The sequence below is a fragment of the Homo sapiens genome, chromosome 14 (assembly GCF_000001405.40).
Source record: "Homo sapiens chromosome 14, GRCh38.p14 Primary Assembly".
Classification (NCBI taxonomy): domain Eukaryota; kingdom Metazoa; phylum Chordata; class Mammalia; order Primates; family Hominidae; genus Homo; species Homo sapiens.
This window is the reverse complement of record NC_000014.9, coordinates 71,717,106-71,743,547: the sequence shown is the minus strand read 5'-3', so window position 1 is coordinate 71,743,547 and position 26,442 is coordinate 71,717,106. Positions and strand designations below refer to the sequence as shown.

Genomic DNA, 26,442 nt, shown 5'->3' with positions numbered 1-26,442 from the left:
GGGCATGGCTCTGGGGCTCTGCACCTGCCACCCCAGGCCCTGCTTTCCTCAGCAGCTCTGCTGTCCCAAGTTGTCATCCACTCTGAGAGCGCCAAGGTCACCCCCTTGCTAATCTGGTACCTAGTCTCATATAATTAATGGTGGTAAAGAAATTCTAGCTCCATCTAGGTAACACATGAATTTAAAATAGTCAAGTTTCATGCACAGGGGGCTCTGAATCACCATTTTAGTAAAAAAGGAAAATAAAGTTCTTTTATCTAACTGAATTTTTGAGTTACAATTTAAGCCTGTTTCCCTCTGCAAGGTAGTCTGTGGATGGTTAACTTGTCAACATAATACTCAGTTATCTGGACACGGTATACCTCATACCTTAGTTTCTATTTCTTTTAATGCTGGTGCCTATGGCTATTCTCCTGGTAACCCTATTCTTCTAAAGCATAACCTGGGAACTTGTAGAAAATTTAAGTATTTTCTACTTAATACCTGCACAATCACTGATCCTGAGGGTGCAGCCACGTGACCTGTGTTTTGACAAACTCTCCAGGTGATTCGGAGGCAAGCTCAAGTTTGAGTCGCTGTTCTGTTTATAGCAAAGGGTTAAAAGCACAGGCCAATACTAAGCAAAGTGGACGAGCTCATTCTGACTCTTCCGTCGCTTAAGCAATTCTACTTAAGGAAAGACATGACCTGGTGCTTGTTGGGGAGTAGGGGAGTAGGGGTATAGACTCACTGCTAAGGATTTGAAAACCTCTGCTATTAATACATCAGGACTCTGTTCTAGAAAAACAACATAAAAGCATGAACGTATCAGAGATGTAGGACAAAGGAAGCCACTCGATGTTTATTGAGTGTGTTACGATTTGCCAGTCATTGCCTTTACACGTCTGGTTCTGTTTAATTCTTAAAACATGAGGCTGTTAACTACTTTACCAGATGAGGAAACCATGCTCGGAGATTAGGTAATTTTCCTAAGAACGCAGATGATAAGTAATGGATGGGATTTAAGCCCCAGTTGAAGTCAAATGTCTTTTTCTCAAAAGATGATGCCTATGGAAGGGTCATTAGTGACAAAATTCATACATAGAAAAAGTATCCAGCATTACTGTGGCATCTTTATTCTTTTAAAATCACACAGGACACAGGTCATATTTAACATTACCCAAGTCTTCTTTTTTTTTTTTTTTTTTTTTTTTTGAGACAGGGTCTCTGTCGCCTATGCTGGAGTGCAGTAGGGCAATCCCAGCTCGCCGCAGCCTCGACCTCCTGGGCTCAATCTATCCTCCCACCTCAGGCAGCTGGGACTACAGGCATGTGCCACCATGCTCAGCTAATTTTATTTTTTGCAGAGATGAGGTCTCACTATGTTGCCCAGACTAGTCTTGAACTCTTGGGCTCAGGTAATCCTCCTGACTTGGCCTCCCAAAATGTTAGGATTACAGGTGTGAGCCCTCACACCCGGCCAGTCTTCACTGGGTTTCTGACCCATGTGTGCCATCTTGCACTTTAATATCCACTTTGTTTATTGTGGGAAAACAGCACCTCACAGTTACTGAAACATCGTACTGTGAGACTGAAATCTGGGTTCAGATCATCATTTTACATTTAACTAGAGGCAAACAGTGTAAGTTTGCTGGGCCTGTTTTCTTTGCCCTTGGACTATCGTTCTTATCCCCACCTAAAGAGTTAGTAACCTAACCCAGCTTATCACCGGCACCAGATCTGGAGCGCAAGCAACTGGCCTTCCCAGTCAGCTCATGGATGAAGATCTTCCATCAATGCAGGCCCAACAGCACCTTCTCCCAGGGGCTCCCAACCCATGTGCCAAGCCCTACAGAAATAACGTATAAGCCCTCCGAACCATGTAGGAATCATGGTCTAAACAGACCTTTTTAGCTTGTTAATTGGAATATTTTGTGGCATCCATTCTTATGCTAGTCCAAGAACTCTGGAATCTGTAGAACTGTTGAACCAAATAAAAGGAAGAAACTCTACTGTCAGCACTCAATTAGCTGCGCCGCTGGAGAGGAACAGTGACGTGGTAGATTAAAAAAAAATTGGTTCGGTTTGACTTTGGAATGCACTGATTTTTTTTTCAGTAGATTAACTTTTCTAATTATATTTTGCACAGCCTAATATTAACAGGCATTTGTATTCCCTGGGCACACAACATCTGACATTGAGAGCTGGGAGATGCAGCCCAAAAATGTGCTGGTCTCAGAGAATAACAATGTTATGAAAAATCCATGCGTGGATAATGAAGGGGAAGCTAATTATGAAGTGCTCTGCAAATATTAAATCATAAGCAGAGAAGGCAAAATAGTAATTCTCTATCGACATGTGGACAGAGTAAAAAAGTTTATTAACATTCTGAGAAGGACAGAAATTTTCAAGAATCATCATTAGTGTTAACAAAGCTTGATGAAAAAATTCGGATGCAAGGAGGGTCAATGAGTTATTGGGTGGTCTTTCAAATAAGCAAACCTCAAGCAATAATACCAAAGTGTTTTAAAAGAGCGTTTAAAATGAATTTTATTCTTTGAATTTTACAGGTAGTCTTTAGAGGCTTCAAACAAGAACTCTGTTGCAAAACTCTAATAAATAGCTTGCCCCAAGTCCCCAAACAAAATGTAAAACAAAATGAGAACTAAACTCAGAAGGATAAGCAAGACTTCAGAATGCTTGGATGTTAGCAATATTTCTCATTTACAAAGAGATATCAGGCAATGTACAATCTCCTTCATACAAGTCAAAGAGAGAAAGAGACAGACAATTGAAATCTTCACAAAGCACTCCGAAATCTTCCTATTTCCATGATAGAAATGTCACCAGAAAAAAAAAATTCCATGGAGAAATCACAATCAAGAATGAAACTGTAGCATAAAAATCTGGTAGTGAATGTAGCAGGGAGAAGAGAGGAAAATCCATCCTGTTTCTTTCAGGGATGGAGAGAGGAAGGAATTGAGATTACTTGGGTGAGGGAACTTCCAATCAGATGCCGCTAGAGTGCTGAATGTTCCCTTAGACCAGAGTTGCCACTGAAAGGGCAGAGGGGTCGGTTTAGTGACAGTTATGAAGGCAACAAACAAAGGGGTCTCCTCAGGTCAGTCAACACTGGCCAGCCCCATGTCTCTGTGCTCTACAGCAGCCTTGGAAGAGTGACCCAGGGGCCCAAAGCAGCCTGCATCACAAGACAGCAAAAATAGCACATCAATAATTTCTGCAGCGGAATCCTTTGGATGGCCATGAAAGGATGCAGAAAATGCCGTGCTGAAATTTCACACTGGGACATGCAGGTTTCAAAAGCCCATTCTAGTATCACAGTCATTATTCCTAACAAGCAATGATTAAAATTCACAATTAAACATTCACTGTTAGCTTCTCCTAGTTACAAATACTGGTGAAGTCTTGCTCTGGAGAGAAAGATTAATTTAGAGATATGGTCATTTTCAGCAAGCTAAAAAAACCAGTTGTGCCACATTTTTATCTTTAAAAATCTTTAAAACGTATACTTTTGACCAAAATGCATTCAAAATGCAGACAGATAAGGTTTTAGTTTGGGGGAATTCTGAAATCAATTAATGTTTGGAGCCAGGAAGCTGTAAGAGAGATTGATTCCAATTTAGTGGGGCTCAATTAAGCCAAACAAAAAAGAGTCTTGCAGCACAAGTGGGACCATCTTCCTGGGGAAAGGGAGAAGCAGGAAATGACCTCACAATGCAGGACTGAGAAGGGGTGTGGCCTGCAGGCACTGTCAGAGCTGCTCTGGTTTACAGACTTGCTGTTAAATATTTAACTCCGGTCCTGCTGATCTCTGGAGGACAGGTACAGACAGCACTAGCTCATGCACGAGTCATTCAAGGGAGGTAGGCATTTTCTCAAAGCAACTCCCTCTCCAGGCATTTTAGGGAAGAAGGTAAGGAAATATCCCTCTCTACTCCCCAAACAAGTTATAAAAACATTCTTTTTCTAGGAATAATGATATTTGTTAGAATAACAAGGGAAAGCTTGGGTTACCTGAAGTTGATAAGAAAGCTGATGGGAATAGAGGCGGATGGGCCAGGGGGCGCCCTGGTCCAAGGCCCAGTTTCTTCTTAAATACATAACAGATAAAGATATTGTGCAAAAAAATAAAGACATTCACATTTTAGCAGTTAAACTTTTATTTTACTGTTTAAAATTTTTATTTACTTTTTTTGTTTTTCTTTTCTACAAAAGGCAGGTGATGATTGTTGATCTGCAACTATTGTGTTGTGCACTCCCCGAAAGGGGGCAGAGTAGGAAGCCAGGGAAGGTGCTCTGAGGATGCTTTCTATGGAGGGAATAAGGGCTGCAGGACACTCACTGGAGGGAGTGTCTGGGCCCTTCTCCTGTCCTCCTCAGCCTTCCCTAGCTCATGTCTATGGTGTTGAAGACCCATTCTGTGAACTTCTTCAGCTTGTCCGAGGCGTTCTGGGACTCCTCCTGTAGCCTCAGGTTGTCCTCTCGCAGGTGCTGCACCTCCGCCTGAAGGTGAGCTTTGTCTTCTTTTTCCTGGGAGGCAGAGTGAAGTAGAAAAGCTAAGAGGTGTTGGCCCCACCTTGCCCAGCTCTTCTGAGTAATAGCTATGGACCCGTTTTGATCTTTTGTCCATTTCTATTCTTCGTTCCTCCAAACACCTGTCTAAACGGACTGGTATCAGGTGCTAAGACACTCTAAGCTCAGGGAGCAGGGCTTCTAGAGAGATTCAACCCTGCAGGATTAGCTCTAAGTAATCCTGGAATGTAAGTACATTAATGTGTATTTTAACATCCTTGTTAGTCAGGATTGTCTTAAATTTTAGACAATTGTGTTGGTGGCTGATGTCTTGATATATAGTCAAGGCCACCCAAAAAACAAAACATTCAGTTCTTTTGGTGCAAAAGCCCCAATAACACCGACTACATGGGGGTCTGGGCTACTGACACATTACACAAGGAGTGGGGAGGCCGGGAGAGGACCCAGATGGTGCTGGCTGAGGTTCACAGCCTTTCACAAATTATTGAACAGTTTTTCTGTACACCGGACACCGAACGCCTCCTCATGCTGTGTGTTCCAGTGGCAACTGAAATCCCTGCATCCCCAAACACATGCAGGCACCGGGAAGACACCCACGTCTTATTTTACCATGCTACTTAGAAAGGGCTCTCATGGTTCAAGGGTAGTTTGTACAGACTGGACAATTTGCTTTGAGAATACATGTTTACCTTCTTCAAATCTTCCCGAAGCATCTTCAGCATACCTTCCAGCTGGTCCACTTTAGAAGCCAGAGTGGGAGAGGAGTCTTTACTGCTGGGAACAAGAAACAAAAGACCATGTTGGCAGGGGCCTCCATGGCTGGGTTTGTTTTTTTTTTTTTTTTTTTTTTTTTACTCTGAGGAGGCTGTATTTATAAAATGGTTTTCAATGTCAAATTACTCAGTATGGCGACCCAATGAGTATTTTTACTTTAAAAAAGAAAATGGTAGTCTTAAAAAAAGGTAATAAAAGCTTGAACTGCAGCCAATCAATAGCTTCCTTTGTTAAAGATGCTGCATCCTCACGACTAAAGAATGAAGCACAATAGTGAAAATGGTCTCTTTGGCAGCACAAGAGGTACTTTCTGGCAGATATAATTGTCAAACAGTAAAATGATTCCCAGGGAGGCTCTGGGATCTCTCTAGTGGGCTTTGACAGAGGAGTTACTCCCCTGTGTGTGGGAAGGAAGCTGGGGAGCTGATGTGATAGGCAGGTCGTCTCTGGTCCCAAGTGTGTGGTCTTAGCTACTCATGCAATTGCAGCTAAGGTATCATGCCTACATCTTAAACCACTGGTCTAAGTATCTTGTTAGCCTAGGCTTAATGTCTTAAATTCTGTCCCAGTCTGATCAAAAAACCATTTTCTTCTCATTTTCTCATGTTTTCTTTTGTTTATGGCACGCTAATCATGCCGTGCTAGTGGAGTACCGAAAGAAGTGTGAGCTGGGGTACGGCAGGCCAGCCAGCGAGCTAGACAGACGGCATGGCTGGGCACGCTCTCACCCCGAGGGTCCTATGGCTGAGGAACTGACAACTTTTCTTGCCACACTCTCCTCTACCTGAGTTCAAGCTGCCAAATTTTCCTGATTCCTAGCCAAGCTATACATCCTCAGGGGCACACCACAGAGAACCCAAAGTCTTCCATCGGGAAAACATGCAGAGCCTCTTCCCAGCGCCAATGGGAAAGAGCTAAGTGACTCCGAATTTTCTAGGTCACGGAGTAAAAGGTATTCTTTACTTTAAAAATAAAGATTCAAGTTACAATTCCTGACCTCAGATGAACTGTGTTGATGTCTTCTGCTAATCCTAAGTCTACAAGAGGCCCCAGGAGGCAAAACCCACCGTGGTGTACAGTGTGGCAAGGCTGTGGGCTGATGGAGTGACCATGACCTCCAATCTCTAAGGCAGGAAGGCCAATGAAAAGCTGACAATGAATGGGTTTGAGAAGGGACATGGTCAGCTGCAGTCCATAACCGCATAGTATGGTACGGCAGGCTGGTCCGATTTTGGGTGGGCTGAAGGCCACGGATGTGGTAGAAAAGGGGCGGTGCTGGACAGACACAACGAGGCTGGGGCCGGGCAGCAGTGGTATCCTTCGCAAAGCCACTGCAGCTCATCAGGACTGCAGCAACGCTCAGGAGCATTCTGTCTATTCACCTCCATTTCCATTTGTTCAGTCCATGCTGACCCAAGAAAAGAGCCTGTCATCACCCTCATCTGCTGATTTTTTAATAATCCTTTCACAGGAAAACAGTCTTGGCTCACTCACACTTCTCTCTGTTGGAGGCTCCTTCCTAACGAGGCACATTTGGGGCTTGCTTCTGGGATATGCATTTTTAAAGTTCTCAGCAGTCAGCCTGATTGCTGCTCTCCTCACCCCAGCAGTGCCAGAGGTAAGTGCGGCCTCTCTCCTATACTCATAACAAATGATCCCCTATTCTTGTGCCTTCTCGTTGAGAGCACTTCCTTGCAGACTTGTTCAGAGAAGTCCTCAATGGCAAGCCCCAGTTTATCTGTGCCATTTACTTCAATTGGCTTTCCTGTTATTGTCCGTTTCTGACCAAGTTTTACAGATACCTGGAGTTTTAATCACCCTTGAAAGGTTTTTTCCTTTTTCTTAAGACAGAGTTTCGCTGTGTCACCCAGGCTGGAGTACAGTGGTGCGATCTTGGCTCACTGCAACCTCCGCCTCCTGGGTTCAAGTGATTCTCATGCATTGGCTTCCCGAGTAGCTAGGACTACAGGTGTGCACCACCATGCCCAGATAATTTTTTGTATTTTTAGTAGAGACAGGGTTTCAGCATGTTGCCCAGGCTGGTTTCAAACTCCTGAGCTCAGGCAATCTGCCCGCCTTGGCCTCCCGAAGTGCTGAAATTACAGGCATGAGCCACCAATCCCAGCCTCAAAGGGTTTTAAGGGAAGAGATTTCAAATGAATGAAATTATTCTGCAACAAGAAGTGCTTACTAAATGTTCCATACCTGACTGATGGGATGCTTTAACATACAGAAATTAGCACACATAAATCTAGCAACCTCACCATTTTGAAACTAAGGGGAAAACAGAAAAGTCGGTCTCTGCATAAATAGAAGTTGTAAAGTCCCTGCTCCTGACTGAGAAGCCCTTAGGACCTCAGTTATTGCCTACTTTTCACCTTCATACCATCTTAACCATCCTGGTGATTTAGCTTTCCAACACACAGACGTGAAGCAGCACACTGGGAGCCACTAGGACTCAGCAAGCGCATGTATAAGCATGACCATCAGCAACACTGCGAAAGAGACTGAAAACCCAGACTGCAGGACTACACAGCACAGAGCACAGGAATACTTAGAGCAAATGGTCTCTCCTACCTGCCCCAACTGGCCCTGAGGGCATAAATGTATTATGACATTAAATAATAATGAATATTCATCATTATGGCCGTATAAGTCATCAAGAATAGTTTAATTATGTCTACAGTATTCAGTTACAAAGCGTTCTGACTAAAATGTAAAGTGTCTAGCCCTGCAGTGATCAGCTTCACTCAGCTACTCCGTGTGGCTTCCATCTCTTCTCCCCACAGATGCAGTCAGTGGCAGATGTGACACAAGGTGCAGAGTACTGCCCTTGCACTGGGACCAACCTGCTGTAAGGCTTCATCTGGGCCAGAGCCTGGTCCTCCAGCTGATCACTGTTGGATGCAGCACTCAAGGGGCGATGGTTTTCATCACTAGCAGCAAAAAATGAGGCTCTCTGGACTGGAAAGGAGAGAAGAAACCATTTAGTATTTTGGAACCACATCCCTGGCCCTATCTATCAAAGTCAACAAGTGGTCTAGTTGGCAGTCATGTCTAGTATTTCCAGTGCAGGATGCACTGGAAATCTTATTTCCCAACCCTCACAGGGAAAAATATGACTGTTTTAGCTATAAGAGGATTGTAGCCATGTAATTTCCCTTTAAGAAACATTTGTGAGTCAATTTCTAGTCCCCCCTCTTCCCTGCTCATCACTGTAGCATTCTATGAAATGTTTCTCTGGAAACAGTCCTTGTGCCAAATTTCCAGACCAAGGCTTTCCACTCAGCAATGAAATAAATGCGTTCGAGAGCTAGCATTATGCTTAAAACTTCTTGAAGTATGTTTTCCACCACAAGATTCCTGGACACTCTGGTTGGCTTTAACATAAATCCATACCACCTGTATTCCAAAACATACCAAGTTAAAATTTAAGCCAAGAAAACTAAATCAAATTTAAAATAATCTCCCATTAGAAACCAAAACTTCTACCATTTGTATATGAAGGAGATTAACCAACACACTGAAAAATCAAGTTAGAACTGGGAATTTCCATCTGCTAAATAAACAGCATGAAGGTAAAAGGATTCACTGCTGACCATTCCATGGTTGCCCGACGTACAGATTCTGTGGCCTAGTACATTTCTCCCCAAAATTAAAACTTGACTAAATAGCAATTTTCAATTCTCCTAATTAAGAGCAACAACAACAACAAAAACAGAAAAAAAAATCACCTGCTATAAGTTTGTAAAGAATAATAAAAATTTTAGAAAGATCTTTAAACTTAGAAAAAAGTCAGTCTTCATTCAAAAAACAAAAACCCCAGCTGACAATCTTATGTCAACACACACATACTGCACTACTTTTTGTGTTTTCATTACAGCAGGCAAGATCAGCACCAGTCTGAGGACCTGCATTTAAGAACCGCCAGCCTAAAGCGAGCACACGGCCAGCAGGCTGGCAAGGAGACAATGCAGACAGACAACGCGCTACCGCGCACGGAGATGAGGGAGAACGGCAAAGGGGGCGCCCCACATTTGTGAGGATAGGCGCGTGGCCAAGCAGGGCAGGCACTGTGACATTTAGCAACAATGTCTTGCGACGTGATGAAAGATCCTCTCTGGATACATGTTCTTTTTAGTCAAGGGACAGCTGGGATTCCTCTACCCATTGCCCTTCCCATATACGGAGGAGGCGAGGCATTCATGTTATGAATCCTGTGGAGGAAACACCAGGTGGCATCTGATTACATAAAACATGTGCCTAGGTGTCCAGCTTAGGGTCTGGTCCCTACTGAATGCTCAGTAACTGATAGCTCATCTGGTGAGGCACATATGTTTTGAGTGTGTCCAGAGAAGTAGAGTGGATGGAGACTGCTCACTCCGCTGCAGGATCCTGGGCTGTCTTGTGTGGATTCAGTGGACTCACCCTCATAGGCTTTGGCAGCATCTACCAGGTTGGACCAATCCAAGTCTGCAGCAGTGTCAGGCAGGGGCATCAGGCCAGGGTCGGGCATAGGCTGCCTGCGGGTCTCCTGGATGTCAGTGAGGGAGCTGTCCGAGGCTGAGAACTCTCCTGCGGGAAGGGAGGAGGAATGAGATGCTTCTTGTGCCTGTGGAAGAGCCACTCAAAACTTACCTCTTTCCTGTTACCACAATAGATTGTAAGCCATTTGTGACTGTTATCAATGTCCAGGTTAGCAGGCTGTTAGTGGCTATTCTAAAGCTGACTTGAAATAGGAATCGGCTTCCTCTAGTCTGCCTTCATTTTTTCACAACCTCCCATCATCTCCCTTCCAGCAGTGAGTCATGGCAAAGTTAGTTTTGCATGGAGGCACTAAGTCTGCTTTTGTGAGAGCTGTCTGTCCACAGCAGGGCCTAGGCAGCACTAGCATCTACTTTCCTGCACAGAGTCAAGGGATTTGGGCCAGGAAGAAGAGGCCTACTTCAACAGGGAGCTGGATTTTGGAGCCAGACCAGGGATGTTTCTTCCTACTAGAGGGGACAATAGGGCTTATTTTTTTATTTTTTGAGACATATTCTCACTCTGTAGCCCAGGCTGGAGTGCAGTGGCATGATCTCGGCTCATTGCAACCTCTGCCTCCAGGGTTCAAGCAATTCTCCTGCTTCAGCCTCCCAAGTAGCTAGGACTAAAGGTATGTGCCACCATGCCCGGCTAATTTTTGTATTTTTAGTAGAGACGGGGTTTCACTATGTTGGCCAGGCTGGTCTTGAACTCCTGACCTCGTAATCCGCCTGCCTCAGCCTCCCAAAGTGCTAGGATTACAGGCGTGAGCCACCACGCCCAGTTTAATAGGGTTTATTTTTATCTGGCCCGGGAGTGGTAAGGGACAGAAGGCCCATGCCTGCCCTCTCTGCTGTTGAGGGGCAGCCCACTGGGTTCCATGGTCAAAGGTGTCCAAGGGGGTGTGAGGGGCACATCAAGGGATGTGAGTGTGCTGGGTTACTCAGACAGAGCTAAGACAGGAAGGTGATTTTAGGGGTGGAACTGGCATTATTCTTCTCTAGGATGCAGTCATCACACGAGCTATTCTTTGGACCAATTTTGGGTTGCAGCAGTCTAACATCCCAAGCTCTTCCTAAGGGGACATTTTGTTGAATACAAATATTAAACCATTGTAACAACAAACTGACATATTAACAACTAAGATCTGCTTGGCAGGGAGGACTGGGCAGAGTGAGCCACCCTGAACACTGAAGGCAGCTCCTATTGCTCAGGTTCATGCAGGCAGATAACAGGAAGGGCGGGCTGCTGGGGTCCAGGGGAAACGACGCTCATGACATAGAAATGCCCTCAGTAGGCAGAAGCTGGGTGGAAGCCAGGGCAGAGCACACCACTCCACGAGAAGGAGCACCCTTGGAAGGTGACTGCGACACTCAGGTCCATGCAAACACACAGCTAAAGCTAAATGCTCAGCTAGAATATTTAAGTGACTCCAGAAAGACCTGTTTACCAGGAGTTAAAGATTTTCATGTATTATGACAGCCCGGTAAGCCAGTGTATTAAATGCTTTGTTTTCCCTTTCAAATTACGAAAAGAACTTCTCTGAAGTACAGCTGCTGGTTATTACTGTGCTCAAAATTAGCAAAATCATGAGTAAATGGAAGTTAACAAACACTGCAAGATATTAAATGTTCAGTTCTACTTAAATGTGCTCCTACCAAGGGTAAGTAGGAGGGGAGATAATTCTGTGTGTAACTCACAACCCTTCTGCCCTTTTATCTCTGGGGCCCGAATTTCCATGTGGGGGATAAAAGAAGTCACCCTTCCTCATCCCCCAAACACATTTCAGTGGAAGTCACCAAGCAAGGCAGGGCTGAGGGATCAGCCCAATGAGGACTGCCTGGTTAGGGGGTGAAATCACTGCAGCTGCTATCTTATTCAGGAAAACAAGAAAAAGTGAAGGGAAGGGGCTCAGAGAGGGCTGCCTGTCCCTGCCTTTCCATTGTGGACTCACATGGGGCCTCTAGTCCCAGGACTCCTCGTCTGGACAATGACCACGTGTGGGACACAGATTTCTGGGCTGTTCTTTCGGAATGTAGGCTTCTACTACTCAGGGCCTACTCTGATATGACACATGCAGAGAAGACTTCACAAAGGGGTTACCTTTACACTGCAAAGGCAAATTAAAAGTACAGAGAAATAAGAGAGCAATCAAAGTAAGGCAGGAATAATGGAATTCACGGAAGACTGACCCCGATGTAGGGAGAGAAGAAGAGAAAAAGGTTAGGGGCAGGAGGTCACTACCAGAAGGCTTGTTCTGGAGTCTGGTGACAAAAAGTGGTCATTTCATGTGCCAACCTTGGTTCATCGGAGGTGACTTCCTGGCGCAAAGACAACCCAGATTTTAGCTGCAGGTGGATGGAGCAGCTTTATTTAAGGAGATTTAAGGAGCAGGGGAAGCTGGCATGATCCTTGGGGCGAGCAGGGTGGGTGGGACTGCGCTGCTGAACAGTGAGTAGGACAGAGACATGGAGGAACATTCATGAGCGTGGGCTGAGAGCTCAAAAATAAGGGAGCAAAAGCAAGAGATGTAAAGAAATTACTGTTCCAGAGAAGCAGCAGAAGGAAAAGAAACATGGGTATGAATGGACACTGGAGATATAAAAGCTGCAGCAGAGTTCACCAAAGGAAAAAGGACAGAAGGGAGGAAGGGTGACAGCAGTGCATCCAGCAAATGATCAAGAACACTGGTTCCGTGACAGGCATCTGCTGTGCTGGGCCACAGCTATGAGGGGAGGTGTAGAGCCCTGGAATGGGGTGGGACAGAGACAGGAAAAAGGGAAAAACCAAATTTAAATCCCGAGTGCCAGAAAGTGGCCCTTAATAAAACTGGGATCTAGTTGGGTCACAAAGCAAACAAGGCATATGTGGACCAGGTGCAAGAACATGGAGGTACCCATCATCCACAAACCTTTTCCTTACATAATGCTTGCCTGCTCACTGCACGAAGAAATCAATGAGTCAACAAATGAGTGGTTGACACCACAGGCAATTTCCTTACAGCCTGGGAAAGAATGACAGCAATGGCAAGTCTGGGTTCTTATGGTAGCTACAGGAAGCAGTGGATACCACTCTCTAAGAACTAACTAATCTAGTGCTAGCCAAATTTGCTCAATCATAACAGCAGCTGGCATGGTTGCTAAGAATACCAATTCCCAGACTATTCTTTTGGAGATTCAAACTCAGGAGGTCTTGGGTCCAGTGTGGGAATCTGTTATTTCTAGCAAGCAACCCAGGTGACTATGGTGGTCTGGGATTACAGGAGAGAGAGGGCAAATGAGGAAGGGGCGGGTGAGCTGAGACCATCTGAGCATGGATACAGGACCCCTCTCTGAGCACATGAGTGGCAGCCACGTCTGGGGACACTGACCATCATCAACAGGGCCATCCAGGCTGCAGCTGAAAGACCACTTACCATGCAGCGATTTCATTCCTAAGGTGTAAGAAGGCCTCCTCAACGGGAGCGACTTGGGGAGAGAAGGGTACGTGCTACTGAAGAGGACGTCGTTGGGCAGGGCTTGGTCCAGAAGTGACGCCCTGGAGGTGAAAAAGTGCTCCCTCTGGCTATTGTAAATGCTCTCGTCCGACAGTGTTCTGTGCAAGGCCCGCCGTGAGGTGGGGGTGCTGGGGAAAGGAGACTGAGGAGAGGAGAGTGCGTGGAACTGAAAAACAGGATCAAGACAAAAGAAAGTCAATTTTCTGGTTCAGATCCCTGAGACCAAGGTTGGGGGAGGGTGGGATAACCAAGTTACTGCTCCAGACACACCCCTAGCAAGGAAGCTTCAGGGCTCATTGTCTATTTCTACAACCTCAAGGAGCTAACCCAAGAATTCCTGGTCATTATTCCTTAGCCTGGCATGCTGCCTGCAGTCTATCAGTGCTCCCTATGTGATTCAGGTATGTGATTAAGTGGACCTATCAAGATCGTGTGTGGTTAAAAACAAGACTTTAGGATCAGACAAATGTGGGTTTTATTTGAATCCTGTGTCTCTGACCAAATCATACAATCTCTCTGAGTCTAATTCCTCATTTGTACAACGGGAGCACAAAACCTCTCAGGATTACCACAGGGATTAAACAAAACGCTGGACTGAGCACAATGGCAGGTGTCAGTGGCATGATGAAATGGTGTTATGGCCCCTGGGGGAAGAGAGAGCCACAGTGCCAAGAGGGTATCCTGACAAGCTTGTCGGATGATAACATGCTTGCTGGGCAACAAGGGTATTTGATCATCAAAATATTTTAACTCACATAGCAGGTAGCTCTTGATTAACTACTAACTTACACCAACTGAACCTATCGAGGTAGATAAATTTCATGAGTTTTGGAGAAAATTCATTTTTTGAAGATGCATTTCTATTCATGAAATAAGAATAGGGTAGGCTGGGCGCGGTGGCTCATGCCTGTAATCCCAGCACTTTGGGAGGCCGAGGTGGGCAGATCACTTGAGGTCAGGAGTTTGAGACCAGCCTGGCCAACATGGTGAAACCCCGTCTCTACTAAAAATACAAAAATTACCCAGCCGTGGTGGTGCACGCCTGTAATCCCAGCTACTCAGGAGGCTGAGACAGGAGAATCGCTTGAACCTGGGAGGCAGAGGTTGCTGTGAGCCATGACTGCACCACTGCACTCCAGCCTGGGCAAGAGAGTGAGACTCTGTCTCAAAAAATAAAGAAAGAATAGGGAAGTCAGCTTTCTAAATGACAAATAATTATATATTTAAATATACATGACAAATAGTTCCAGATGTATCTCTTATCTTTTGCCTCTGTGACCAAATTTGATTTTACTTGAGATTTTTTCTGCAAATAGCAAGCTTCTGAGTATCTCTTCACTGAGAACAGCAGATACCTTAAAAATAGCAACCTGAAAGGCAACAGAGCATTTGACCCGTGAACAATAAAGTTATCCTTATTCATTTGCTCTTAGGCCACTGTCTGCCTCGATAGGGAAAATGATGTGGAGAACAGGTGAAGATGTGAGGAGGGTGTCACTGCTGGTTGAAAGCCACCCTGGGACTTCCCATGACACTCTGAAGGGGCAGAGAGAGAATGATTTAGCAAATGCTCCATTTAGTGGGCTGATTACAGACCCAGAAATACAGTGGATACACAGGGCCTAGCATGCTTCCGCTCAACAAGCCAGGGGTGAATCAGGTCCAGGCTACCCTCAATGTGGTATGCACAGCTGCTGCATAAATACCAAAAGATTATGAATCAAACACATTGTGAATACACCCAAGATGTGACCAACTGGGTAAAAATTATTCTCACTTTAAAAAAATTCCTGATGAATTAAATCCAAGGTACGTATGTACTTGTCTAGAAACTAAATTGCTGTGATAAATGCTTTGAGAGAGAGAACTTGGAATGAAAGTGATAATTTCCCTTCTCTTTTTGTGGAGAAGAGTGAGCATTAGAGCCATTATATGGCTTGCTAACTGTAATTTTCTTAAAAAATAAAACCAGATTAAAAAATAAAACCAAATAAAACATCTCCACCTGCAAGGTTCTAGGACTATCACATAAGGCTCCTGCCTGCCAGGTCAGATCTCAGATTTCTGTATGAAAAAACTGCTGCTAAATAGTTTTCAGCACCCCTGGTTTTAGTAAAGGGATTTCCTTTTCCAGTATCCCCAGCCTGATGGTTTTACAGGTGTGAAACCCTCCGCCAATTCTAGTTTCAGCCTCTTTGGGAAATGTTAATATGCTTCAAGGCCATGAACAGCTACCTTGAAGAGCTTCTTTAAGCAGGGTGCCCTATGAAAAGTTAAAACACCCTGCAGTGAAGGGAGGCAGGGCAGGAAGCAGAGGAAGCAACCTACCCCGAAGGCGTTCTGCTCATTAAAAGGTAGGAGAACCCAGCCTTGTCCAAGAATGTTGAGATGGCCCCTTGCCCCATCCTCTTTAACTCCAGTCTTAAAGGTGTGCAGAACTAACTGCTTCCCAAGAGCAGCCCCTGCCTGCCTTGCAGGTTGTACCTGGGATTGCCCAGGAGCGCTGCCTGGTGCTGCCAGCCCTTGGGAAAGAATCGCAGTGGAGTGGGATGGCACTGGAAGTGGGATCACACCTGGAAGGGATTTCAGAGGACATTCGAGAAGGGGGCTGGTTCTAACTTGTGCTCCAAGGAGGCCCTAAGGGTTCCTTATAGCACCACTGCTACGGAGAGGTTCAAGTGGGACCCAGGAGTCCAGACCATCCCATCCCTCCCATAAGAGAAACTCTACTGTCTGAATTCTATATAATGGGGTTCCATGTGTGATTTAAAAAAAAAAAAAAAAGGCTTCCTGAGCTTTAAGACTGGTTGGGCACCACTGATCTCCTCTGGTCCTCTATCTCACAGTTGAGGAATGGGGCCTGGAGAGGTGGCGTTTTGTTTCATGCCAGTCTCCTGTTCTCTCATTCTTTTCAGTGCCCCTGGCTATTAGTGACATGTGTCACCTGCACTCACAAGAAACTCTTCCTAAATACTGGAGCCACACGAAGCCACCTCCTTTGGTATATACCTGAGAGCACTGGCACTACTGTCTGTTCACTTGTCAGACTGTATGCCACCCTTGGGGAAAATAACGTTATCCTATCTCTGCTTGCCAGTGAGGTTTCTTAGAGTGCTGTAGCTCTGCCACTGTTCTTGAGGTCCTTGCTCTGCTGACAAATGAGCCTGGGAGTGACCCTGCCACTCAATATTAACAAAAACTCATAGGTAGCACTGGCTATCCAGGAAAATCAATGTGGCACATGAGTGGCTTTGGAGTGTCACAGCCCAAAGCTGGCCATGACACCTAGTATCCTGAAGCCTGAGGCAGTGACTCAGAGCCTTGAGCCAGGAGTGGCCTGGAAGACCTCTCAAGGGCATGCCAGCCTTACTGACACAGCAGAGCCTCCATCATTCAGATGACGACTCTCAGAAGACAAAGGGAGCTACTAAGCTGAACTCATCTGAAACTAAACCTGCTCAAATAAGATGAAACTGGAGAGAGAAAACCTGGGCCTATTCCCAGTTCCTGCTTACAGCCTTCTCACTGTGATGGTTTAGCCAGCAGAAGCACTTTCTTCGCGGAGTCTCACAGTAATACAGTCACAACATAAAGAAAGCACACTCCTGTTTCAAATAGGAATGCTAAAGTAATTCATTTTGGAAATAAAAGCCAAGACCTGGAATAAGGACAAAATCAGACATTTGCCTTCAATTATTTCTACTGCATAAGTAAATCAAAAGAATGAAGGCTCTGAGCTTGCCTCTTGCCAAAAATGTTAAACTAGGAGTTGGAAGAAAAACTCCCTTCAGGGCAGGTTTTATTTCCCTTTAACCTCAAAGGAAAAATCTGAAATAATTTTTATTTTGAACTGGTACTTGAACATTTTAATATACCTCTTTGGGTTTTGATGGATAAAGAAAGAAGTTTCAAGCACTGTCTTTCGCAAGGTTGCTAAGGAAACCATTTGTGCCCTGAATGATGAGTCAGAACTGTTAAGTGCTGGCTTATGAGACGGAAATTACAGAAATCAAGAATGGCTACATCTGTACAATGATTTATTAACATAAATCATGTTAACAAATCATTTATTTCTCGACAAAACTCTAAAGTGGTCCTTGGGGGTACATTCAGTTCCTATGAATGTTGATTTTTTAGGTTTAGGGGGTTTATCTGGCCTATCTGGGGAGATGCATGCACACGCACACACACGCTAGCATGGTGCTAGGGAAGCCTGAGGGCGGCAGCCCCACACAGCTGCTCCACCCGCCATGCCTCTTGCACTCTGATCACAGTCTGAAGCTGGTGTGTGGTTTAGGAAATATTCTAGCTTCCATTTCAATCAATTCAATTCTCAAGGTTCTTCTTAAAGCTTTCTAGTCTCTTCAAATAGACTACAAATCATCCACCTAAGAACCTAGAGAACAGAAGACTTCAAAGTTTGCAGCCATGACCTTTCTGGGGGTGCACTCCCTTCTCCTAGGAGACCCAGAAGACCTCAGACAGAAATACCTATACTCAGAGTGACGTAACTTCAGGCCCAGCTCAATAAACACCCATTCCAATCCCCGGGGGCGTGAGACTCCACACTTTATAGAACAAGAAAGGAGAGAGCCTTAAGTGAGTTTCCAAAGGTCTTACAAGCTGAGACGAGTACACAAACCTTTCCATGTGGTCACATAAAGGTCTGGACAACACAAAAACGTACACACTGGACAGGTATTCAGGACTTGGTGCAGAGAGACTGGGTTTTAGAGAAGACATTTACAGTCTGGAATTCTGAGCATAAAATAGAAGGCTTTATGAAGTCAAGAGAGTTTGGAAAGTTCTGAAGGTGTGTGGGTAGACTTAGATTGCTGGATTGAAGCAGCAGCTGTACATTTACTTTTGGGGGTGTGGCAATGAGAGCGACTGTCTATCAGGCAGTTTCTCTGAGTGAAGAGAATACCATATATGGCCAGTAGGTTTGCCAGACAGGGTCAGGAGCAAATGGGGCCATTTCTGAGAAGACGAGGACCCTCTGGACAGAAGACAGTAAAACCCTTATGGAAAACGTTCTAGCTTTCCATAGGAGCCACAGGTGTCTCTGCACAGTTTCCAAGAAGTCATATCACCTAAGTGATGTTCAGGGAATCATGCACTCTGAGCAGGACACAGCAGAAGAATAAACAGCTGTAGGGGTAGGACCAGGTAATAGAAACCATGACTAATGAGATGTGGCTGCAGGGACAGAGCACTGTCAAACACTGTGGACCAGTTATCAGGGAAATGGGATGATAGCAGGAAGTGAGACTTAGTGAAGAGCAGCCAGTAACCAACACTTTCTGGAAAGTGTGACTATGGTTAATAGCCCCATCATGTCTGGCTTGTTTCTAATTGCCATCTACCCTGAGCTCTGTCTTGTACCTTAAAACTCTTCTGTGATTCAGGAGTTGGGCTTTCAAGATCAATTAGTTTCTTTAGATCTTCTTCAATGGTGGACTTGGAGGTTGGCTTAGGAGATGCCCGGAGGTCTCTGGTTGAGGCACGCAGCCTGGTGTGGGCTATTTCATTGCCATCGCTCTGATGACGCCTGGACAAAAAAGGGAAGAGATGATAGATACCAACTCAACAAGGCTGGCTCAAGGGCATGATGGGCTCTAAAGGATGTAAGTCAATATAAGTCAATAGAGAAATATTATGTGGAGAAACAGATAATTACTTCTGTTTATATGCGAATCTACTCATATAAACGCTTACTGAAGAAACAAAACCAATTTGAAACACAAAATAAAATCTGATGAATAAGTCACTCTTTTAAATAAAGCTATTAGTTTTACTAAGCCAAAATTAGCAACAGATTTACTAAACGACCACAGGGTATACATCCAAAATGCAACCTTTGCACAAACGAAAACAAAATAATTGAATGAATCATTTAATTTTTTGATGTACTACCTTGTCAAAAAGTCCTTTATTTTCAGGGGTACTCACTCACTTTGTAATATTCCCTCTGGTGCCTACTGGCCTAGTTAAGAATTACACAGGAAGGCTGTGATTAATATAATCAAAGGGACTAGTATGGTCTTAGCACCAGAGGGGCAATTATTCTGAAGTGTATCCTTCAAACACACTCTTTTCAAGATCTAAGATTCTCAAATCCTAACATTTTGCAATAAATCTTATTTAAGGAATGAGGCAGAGAAATAATTTAAGAAAATATTACTTAGGAAAAAAAATCATAATCCCACCAACAGACCAACTCCTGCCAACCCCCTAGCCCGGCCTCTTTTGTTGTAAGAGATCACGCCAAGCTTTTCTATTCTCTGTCCTGTTAAAAGCAAGCCACCAGCAAGGGAAGGAAAGTAACTCTTACTTTCTCGTGTCCATAAATCCCACGGAGTTTATGGTTCCTTCGGGTTTTTTCCATCCAATCAGGTACTTGCTAGTAGCGCCCTGGCGAGGGTAAAAACTCCTAGGACCAGAGGAGGAGGAGGAAGAGGAGGAGAAGGATGGTGCGAGCTGTGAGGGGGCAGCTGGATGAAGCTCTTCTTTAGGTGAACTCCGGGCACTGGTGAAAACCACTGGGCTGGCAGAGTGTCGGGAGCTCATGGTACTGAGGAGAAGCAGGGCAAAGACATGTGTATCTCAGGATCATTATGTCAGCTATAAAAGTGCTGTCCGGGGTACGGGTGATGGCTGGGTTGAACAACAGTGAATTTTTCATGAACTATTAACAGCGATGCCTGGCTGGCCTTCCTGGCTTTCTCATCATAATTTAAATGTCTGCTCTCAAAGTGACAGATGACCACTAGGGCTTAGTCTGCACTTTAAAAAGTAAAAATACTTAAGACTGTCAGGGACACTTTCAACTTTTTTCACTTTTTTCACATTGGCACCACTGACGTTTGTCACGGAAGTCTGGCAGTGGCAAGAGACAGAAGAAAGAGAAGTAAAAGGTCTACCGTCTCCATGCCTCTGTCTTGCTTTCCTCACAACTAGGGATTGTGGTGATGCTCTCTGGGACCAAGCTGAGGAGGGGAGAGGAGACTCAAGCAGGGCTATGGCTCTTCAGACTCACATCCAAGGCCAAGGGGCACAGTGAGTGCTCCTTCCCCATGGCAGCTGGCATTCCTATTGGCTCTGGAAGCTGCTGGTCGATGTATTTCAAACATCGGTTAAAGATTACAAAACTAGGGCAACATTGGTTAAAGATTACAAAACTAGGGCTGGGCGGGGTGGCTTACGCCTGTAATCCCAGCACTTTGGGAGGCTGAGGCTGGTGGATCATCTGAGGTCATGAGTTCGAAACCAGCCTGACCAACATGGCGAAACCCTGTCTCTACTAAAAATACAAGAATTAGCTGGGCATGGTGGTGTGTGCCTGTAATCCCAACTACTTGGGAGGCTGAGGCAAGAGAATCGCTTGAACCCGGGAGGCAGAAGTTGTGGTGAGCCAAGATCACGCCACTGCACTCCAGCCTAGGTGACAGAGTGAGACTCCATCTCAAAAATAAAAAAGATTATACAACTAAAGTCTGCATGACTAAAGAGTCCAAAACTCTGGGGTTTCAAGAGTTCCAGAGCAGAAAAAGGCAAGATTTTCAAAATAAGGGATGAGAGTTTTAGTTGACTAAAACTCATGTTAAAAGTGGAAGGCCTTTAACTGTAGGATTTTCATACTTCCTGCCCAGTGGTCTCACAGGACCACACTATTTGAGCCTTTCTGAGTTCTCCAGCATGGGGTGAGACCAAAGATGGCTGACTCTTGCTACAACAGACTTTCAGTTATTTTTACTTGAGGTTTAATTAACAGTATGTGGTCCCAAAGCGTTCCTCGATGGCACTTTCATTTGTCAAAAATGAATCGTCCTGACCTAAATAAAGTACAGACTCTAGTTAATAATACTGTATCAATATTGACTTGGGGAGGAAGATAACTGAATAGAACCCTCTAACAACTGTGCCTCCACAGGAACACCAAATTGAACAACTATCCACACAAAAAAGCACCTTCATAAGAATCCAAAATCAGGTGAGTGATCACAATACCTGCTTGTCACATCATATCAAGGGGAAAGAACCACTGAAGAGGGTGGGAAAGATGGTCCTGCATCGCCTATGCTCCCTCCCCCACCCCTGGCACAGCAGCTTGGAGAGAGAATCTGTGCACGTCAGAGAGGGAGAGGGTGTGGGACTTTGCATTGGAACTCACTGCTGGCCTGTTACAGCAGAGCACAACACTGAGCAGAATTCTGCTGGCACCCACGGACAGAGCATTTAGACCAGCTCTGGGCCAGAGGGGAATTCTCAGCCAGAGTGGGAGGAAGCTGAGTCCCAGCTGGTTCTGCCACCAGCTGACCAAGGTGGCCTGGGGCCCTGAATACATATGAGTGGCAGTCAGGCCACAGGGACTGCAGTCCTTGAACAAGCCCCAGAGCTGCACTGGTTTAAGAAGAAGTGGACTTGGGGTGCACATGACCCCATGTGACACCAGCCATGGTGGCCAAGGGAATGCCTACACCACCAGTCCTCCAACTCCAGGCAGGGAAGTTTGGGGAGAGGCTCCTTCCACTTAGGGAAAGGAAAGGAAAGACTACAGAGGGCTTTGTCTTACAACCTGAGTAGCAGCTCATCCACAGGAAAATAAAGCAGGTGGAATCCTGAAGCCCTCGATTCCAGAACTTTGCTCCTGAGTGGCGTTCCAGACCCACCCAGGGCCAGAAGAGAGTCTGCTGCCCTGAAGCGAAAAGCCCAGACCCAGCAGGATTCACCACCTGCTGACTAACCAGCCCCTGGGCCTTGAGTAATCATTGGTGGTAGCCAGACAGCAGTCACCACGGGCCTTGGGTGGGACCCCGTACCGTGCTATCTTCAGGTCTGACCCTGTGCAGTGCCAGCTGTGGTGGCCATGGGAGTGCTTGAATCACCTTCCCCAACTCTAGGCAACCCAGCACAGAGAGAGACTCCTGAGAGGGAAGAGAGAGAGAGAGACATTGCCTAGCAACCCAGAGAATTCTCCCTTATCCTGTCCAAGCCCATCAAAGCAGTGCTTCTTGGAGTTGGTGAGTCAAAGCGTTCCTGGACTTAGGGTGCCCCCTAGTGCTGATACATCTACAGTGACCACAAACTAAGATCACAACAGTCCCATTTGAATACACGGAAAGCCTTTTCCAGAAGGACGGGTACAAACAAGCCCAGGCTGCCAAGATTGGAATAAATACCTAACTCTTCAATGCTCAGACACTGATGAATGTACACAGGCATCAAGAACATCCAGGAAGACATAACCTCATCAAATGAACCAAATAAGGCATCAGTGACCAATCCCAGAGTGACACAGAATTCAGACAGAGAATTCAAAATACCTGTCCTCGAGCAAGTTCAATAAACTTCAAGATATCACATAGAAGGAATTCTGAATTCTATCAAAAATTTAACAAAGAGATCAAAGAGATTGAAATAGTAATTTAAAAATCAAGCAGAATTTCTGGAGTTGAAAAATTCAATTGACAAAGTGAAAAATGTATCAGTTTCTCAACAGCGGAATTGATCAAGCAGAAGGAAGAACTAGTGAGCTCAAGACAGGCTACATGAAAATACACAGTCACAGTAGAAAAAAGAAAAAAGAATAAGAATGAAACATGCCTACAAGAGCTAGAAAATAGCCTCAAAAGGGTAAATTTGTTTTTCTTTTTTTTTTAGACAGTCTCCACCCAGGTTGGAGTGCAGTGGCACTATCTTGGCTCACTGCAACCTCTGCTCCCAGGTTTTCTACTTCAGCCTCCTAAGTAGCTGTGATTACAGGCACCCGCCACCATGCCCAGCTAATTTTTGTATTTTTAGTAGAGACAGAATTTCACGATGTTGGCCAGGATGGTCTCAAACTCCTGACCTCAAGTGATCTGCCAGCCTTGGCCTCCCAAAGTGCTAGGATTACAGGCATGAGCCACCATGCCTGTCCTGTCAAAAGGGTAAATCTAAGAATTATTGGCCCTAAAGAGGATGTAGCGAGAGAAGGAGATCGGGGCACAAAGTTTATTCAAAAGAATAATGAACATTTCCAAACCTGGAGAAAGATATAAATATCCAGGTACAAGAAGGTCACAGAACTCCAAAAAGATCCCACCCAAATAAGACTACTTCAAGGCATATATTAATCAAACTCTCAAAGGTCAAGGATAAAGAAAGGATATCTGAAAGTAGCAAGAAAAAAGAAGCAAATAAAATAAAAGGGAGCTCCAATACATCTGGCAGCAAACTTCCTGGTGGAAACCTTACAGGCCCACAGAGTGGGGGATAACATATTTACAGTGCTGAAGGAATATTGATTCTCAAGCTATAATAAATGTACTACACTAATGTAAGATGATGCCAACACGGGAAACTTGGTGAGGGGTGTATGGGAACTCTATCTTTGCAACTTTTCGGTAAATTTGAAGCTATTTTGATATTAAAAAGTCCCACAATAGGCCAGGTGCAGTGTCTCATGTCTGTAATCCCAGCACTTTGGGGGCCAAGGCAGGCAGATCACCTGAGGTCAGGAATTTGAGACCAGCCTGGCCAACATGATGAAACCCTGTCTCTACTAAAAACACAAAAATAGCTGGGTGTGGTGGTGCACACCTGTAGTCCCAGCTACTTGGGAGGCTAAGCCCAGAGAACTGTTTGAACCTGGGAGGTGGAAGTTGCAGTGAGCCTAGGTCAATAAACACTGGTGCTCAACATCATCGGTTACTAGGAAAATGTAAATTAAAACCACAATGAAGGACCATTACACACCTACCAGAATGGTTACATTAAAAGACTTATAATATCAAGTGCTGGCAAGGATGCGAAGCACTAGAGCTCTCATACACTGCTGGTGGGAGTGCTACTTGTTATGACCACTTCGGAAAACTAGTTCAGAGACCCTACTAAGTTGAACATATGTATATTCTTGACATGGATATTGCATTCCCAGAAACTCAAAAGAAACATATATGTATGTGTACAAAAGGACATGTACAGGAATTCTTAATATTGGCTGGGTGCAGTGGCTCACACCTGTAATGCCAGCATTTTGGGAGGCTGAGACGGGCAGATTACTTGAGCTCAGGAGTTTGAGACCAGCCTGGGCAATATGGCGAACCCTGTTTCCATAAAAAATAAAAAAAATTAGCCAGGTGTGGTGGCATGTGCCTGTAGACCCAGCTACTTGGGGGGCTGAGGTGGGAGGATTGCTTGAGCTCAGGAAGTTGAGGCTGCAGTGAGCCAAGTTCACACCACTATACTCCAGCCTGGGTGACAAAATGAGACTCTATCTCAAAAAAATAAAAAGAAGAGGAAAAAAAAAAGCAAAGATTCTGAATATCCAAAATTGGAAACAATCCAAATGTTCATCAACAGTATAGTGGACAAATGAGCTGCTATATTCTCACACTGTAACTATAACATAGCCATGGAGAAAAGCTAATGTTACCTGCAACACATGGATAAATCTTAGCAACATAATGTTGACTTAAAGACACAGGGCACAAATTAATGCAGATAGTATGATTCTATTTATATTATATAAAGTCCCAAAACAGACAAAATAAGGCTATTATTTTCTTAATTTTTGTTTTTGCTTTTGAGACAGGGTCTTGCTCCATTGCTCAGGCTAGAGTGCAGTGGTGCAATCATAGCTCACTATAGCCTCAGCCTCCTGGGCTTAAGCGATCCTTCCACCTTAGCCCCCCAAGTAGCCAGGACTACAAGTGCTCACTGCCACACCTGGCTTTCACATGTATTCTTAAAAGGATAACTGGTTAAATAAGATCAACCCCGATCCTTGGTTTTATCTATGAACACAATGGGCTGACACTAGCTCCCAGGTGTGAAATGCCAGTGCACTTCTTTTCACTAGTGGTTCTAATTGAGACAGCCCCATTTAATTGATTAGATTTAGGCACAAAGGTTATGAGAGAAACAAATGAACAATTCACTGGTATGGCTTTCTTCTTTAATGCACACAACTCACAGCATGAAGCTGTGCACTTCAGTACACAGGGCCTCTAATTCAGTGGGCCTGTGAGCGTCACCTGGGAGCTCTTCTAAAGCATACTTTCTTGTGTCCCAATCCTAGATATTTAATTTAGTAAAGGAGGAATGATGCCTGGAAGATTAGGTAAAATGTCCTCCAAGTGTTCACACCAACTGAGGCCTACTGCTCACTCTCATCCAGTTGAATTACACACATTGTTATGACGGTCAAAATCCAGTTCCATATTGTCTAGGTGAAGAAGGTGAAGTCGCGGCAGCAGTGTTTCTCAAGCCACAGAACATGGCCACCTGTAGGTACTGATGTAACTGGGGAATCCTGGGCTTGTGTTAGATCTTCCAGAGCCCCAGAAATCTGTATTTTAACACACTTCCAAAGTATTCTCATGTTTTTTTGGGTTGAAGAAATACTGCATTAGCCCCTCAACTCCTCCCACTCTAAAATGAGTCTGTCTCTGGGCACAGCTGTGGGTGGGCTCCTTGCAGCTGACCAACCCACTGGCCTGAGACTGCGTCAAGGGATGTGCACCCATACACTTCACCTAAGAATCTCTGAAGTAGATTAAATTACAATACAACTACCATGAAGCTATCAGCTTCATAATTTTTAAGGGGAGCTGTGTGGCTGGGCTCTTTCATTATCCTGGAAATTTCATGTTAATTTAATAGGCTGCAATTTCATTTTACTCACAGAGAGTTAAATCTTGTCATAGGAATTACGTAAGAAGGGAATGAACCAATAATATCTAACAAAAGGAAAAGAGCATTAGATGTAACAGGAAATAATAACTGCAATATGTTACTTTTCTCAATGTATAAGAAGTGAGTTTAACTGAGTATGGCCAAATTGGAATCACTAGAAATTTACTCAAGTTGTCTCTAAATTCTACATGAAGAAACTACTAACTTTAATTTTTCTATAAGCTATAGGGCATTTCTCCTTTCCTAAAAAGGAACAACCTTAGATTCTGTCTGGTCATGTCAGGATATTAATTTTGAAAAGGAAGAGAGGATACACAAGTACATGATACCCCATATAAAAGAGGTCGGGCGCAGTGGCTCACACCTGTAATCCCAGCACTTTGGGAGGCCGAGGTGGGTGGATCATGAGGTCAGGAAATTGAGACCATCCTGGC

At 44.7% G+C, this 26,442-nt stretch overlaps 1 protein-coding gene and 1 long non-coding RNA gene across 59 annotated transcripts in view; one reads left to right on the top strand and one right to left on the bottom strand.

Moving 5' to 3' along the window:
- Positions 1-2,338: 2,338 nt before the first annotated feature.
- Positions 2,339-26,442, bottom strand: part of SIPA1L1 (signal induced proliferation associated 1 like 1) — a 420,734-nt gene continuing 396,630 nt past the window's right edge. For 46 of the 58 annotated variants that reach the window (XM_047431217.1, XM_047431229.1, XM_047431218.1 and 43 more), the window contains 7 exons: positions 19,662-19,901; positions 18,713-18,878; positions 13,247-13,493; positions 9,736-9,882; positions 8,157-8,271; positions 5,223-5,307; positions 2,339-4,530 (listed from right to left, as the gene is read on the bottom strand). In XM_047431217.1, coding sequence (XP_047287173.1) covers positions 4,387-4,530; positions 5,223-5,307; positions 8,157-8,271; positions 9,736-9,882; positions 13,247-13,493; positions 18,713-18,878; positions 19,662-19,901 — 1,144 coding nt within the window. In that variant the 3' untranslated portion in view covers positions 2,339-4,386. The remainder of the gene's footprint in view (positions 4,531-5,222; positions 5,308-8,156; positions 8,272-9,735; positions 9,883-13,246; positions 13,494-18,712; positions 18,879-19,661; positions 19,902-26,442) is intronic. The other 12 variants (NM_001354288.2, XM_047431253.1, NM_001354286.2 and 9 more) reach the window with 1 other exon arrangement.
- On the top strand, positions 3,828-8,623 carry LOC124903342 (uncharacterized). Its single transcript, XR_007064259.1, has 3 exons — positions 3,828-3,913; positions 6,779-6,925; positions 8,097-8,623. It is a non-coding gene; the product is annotated as an uncharacterized LOC124903342 (long non-coding RNA).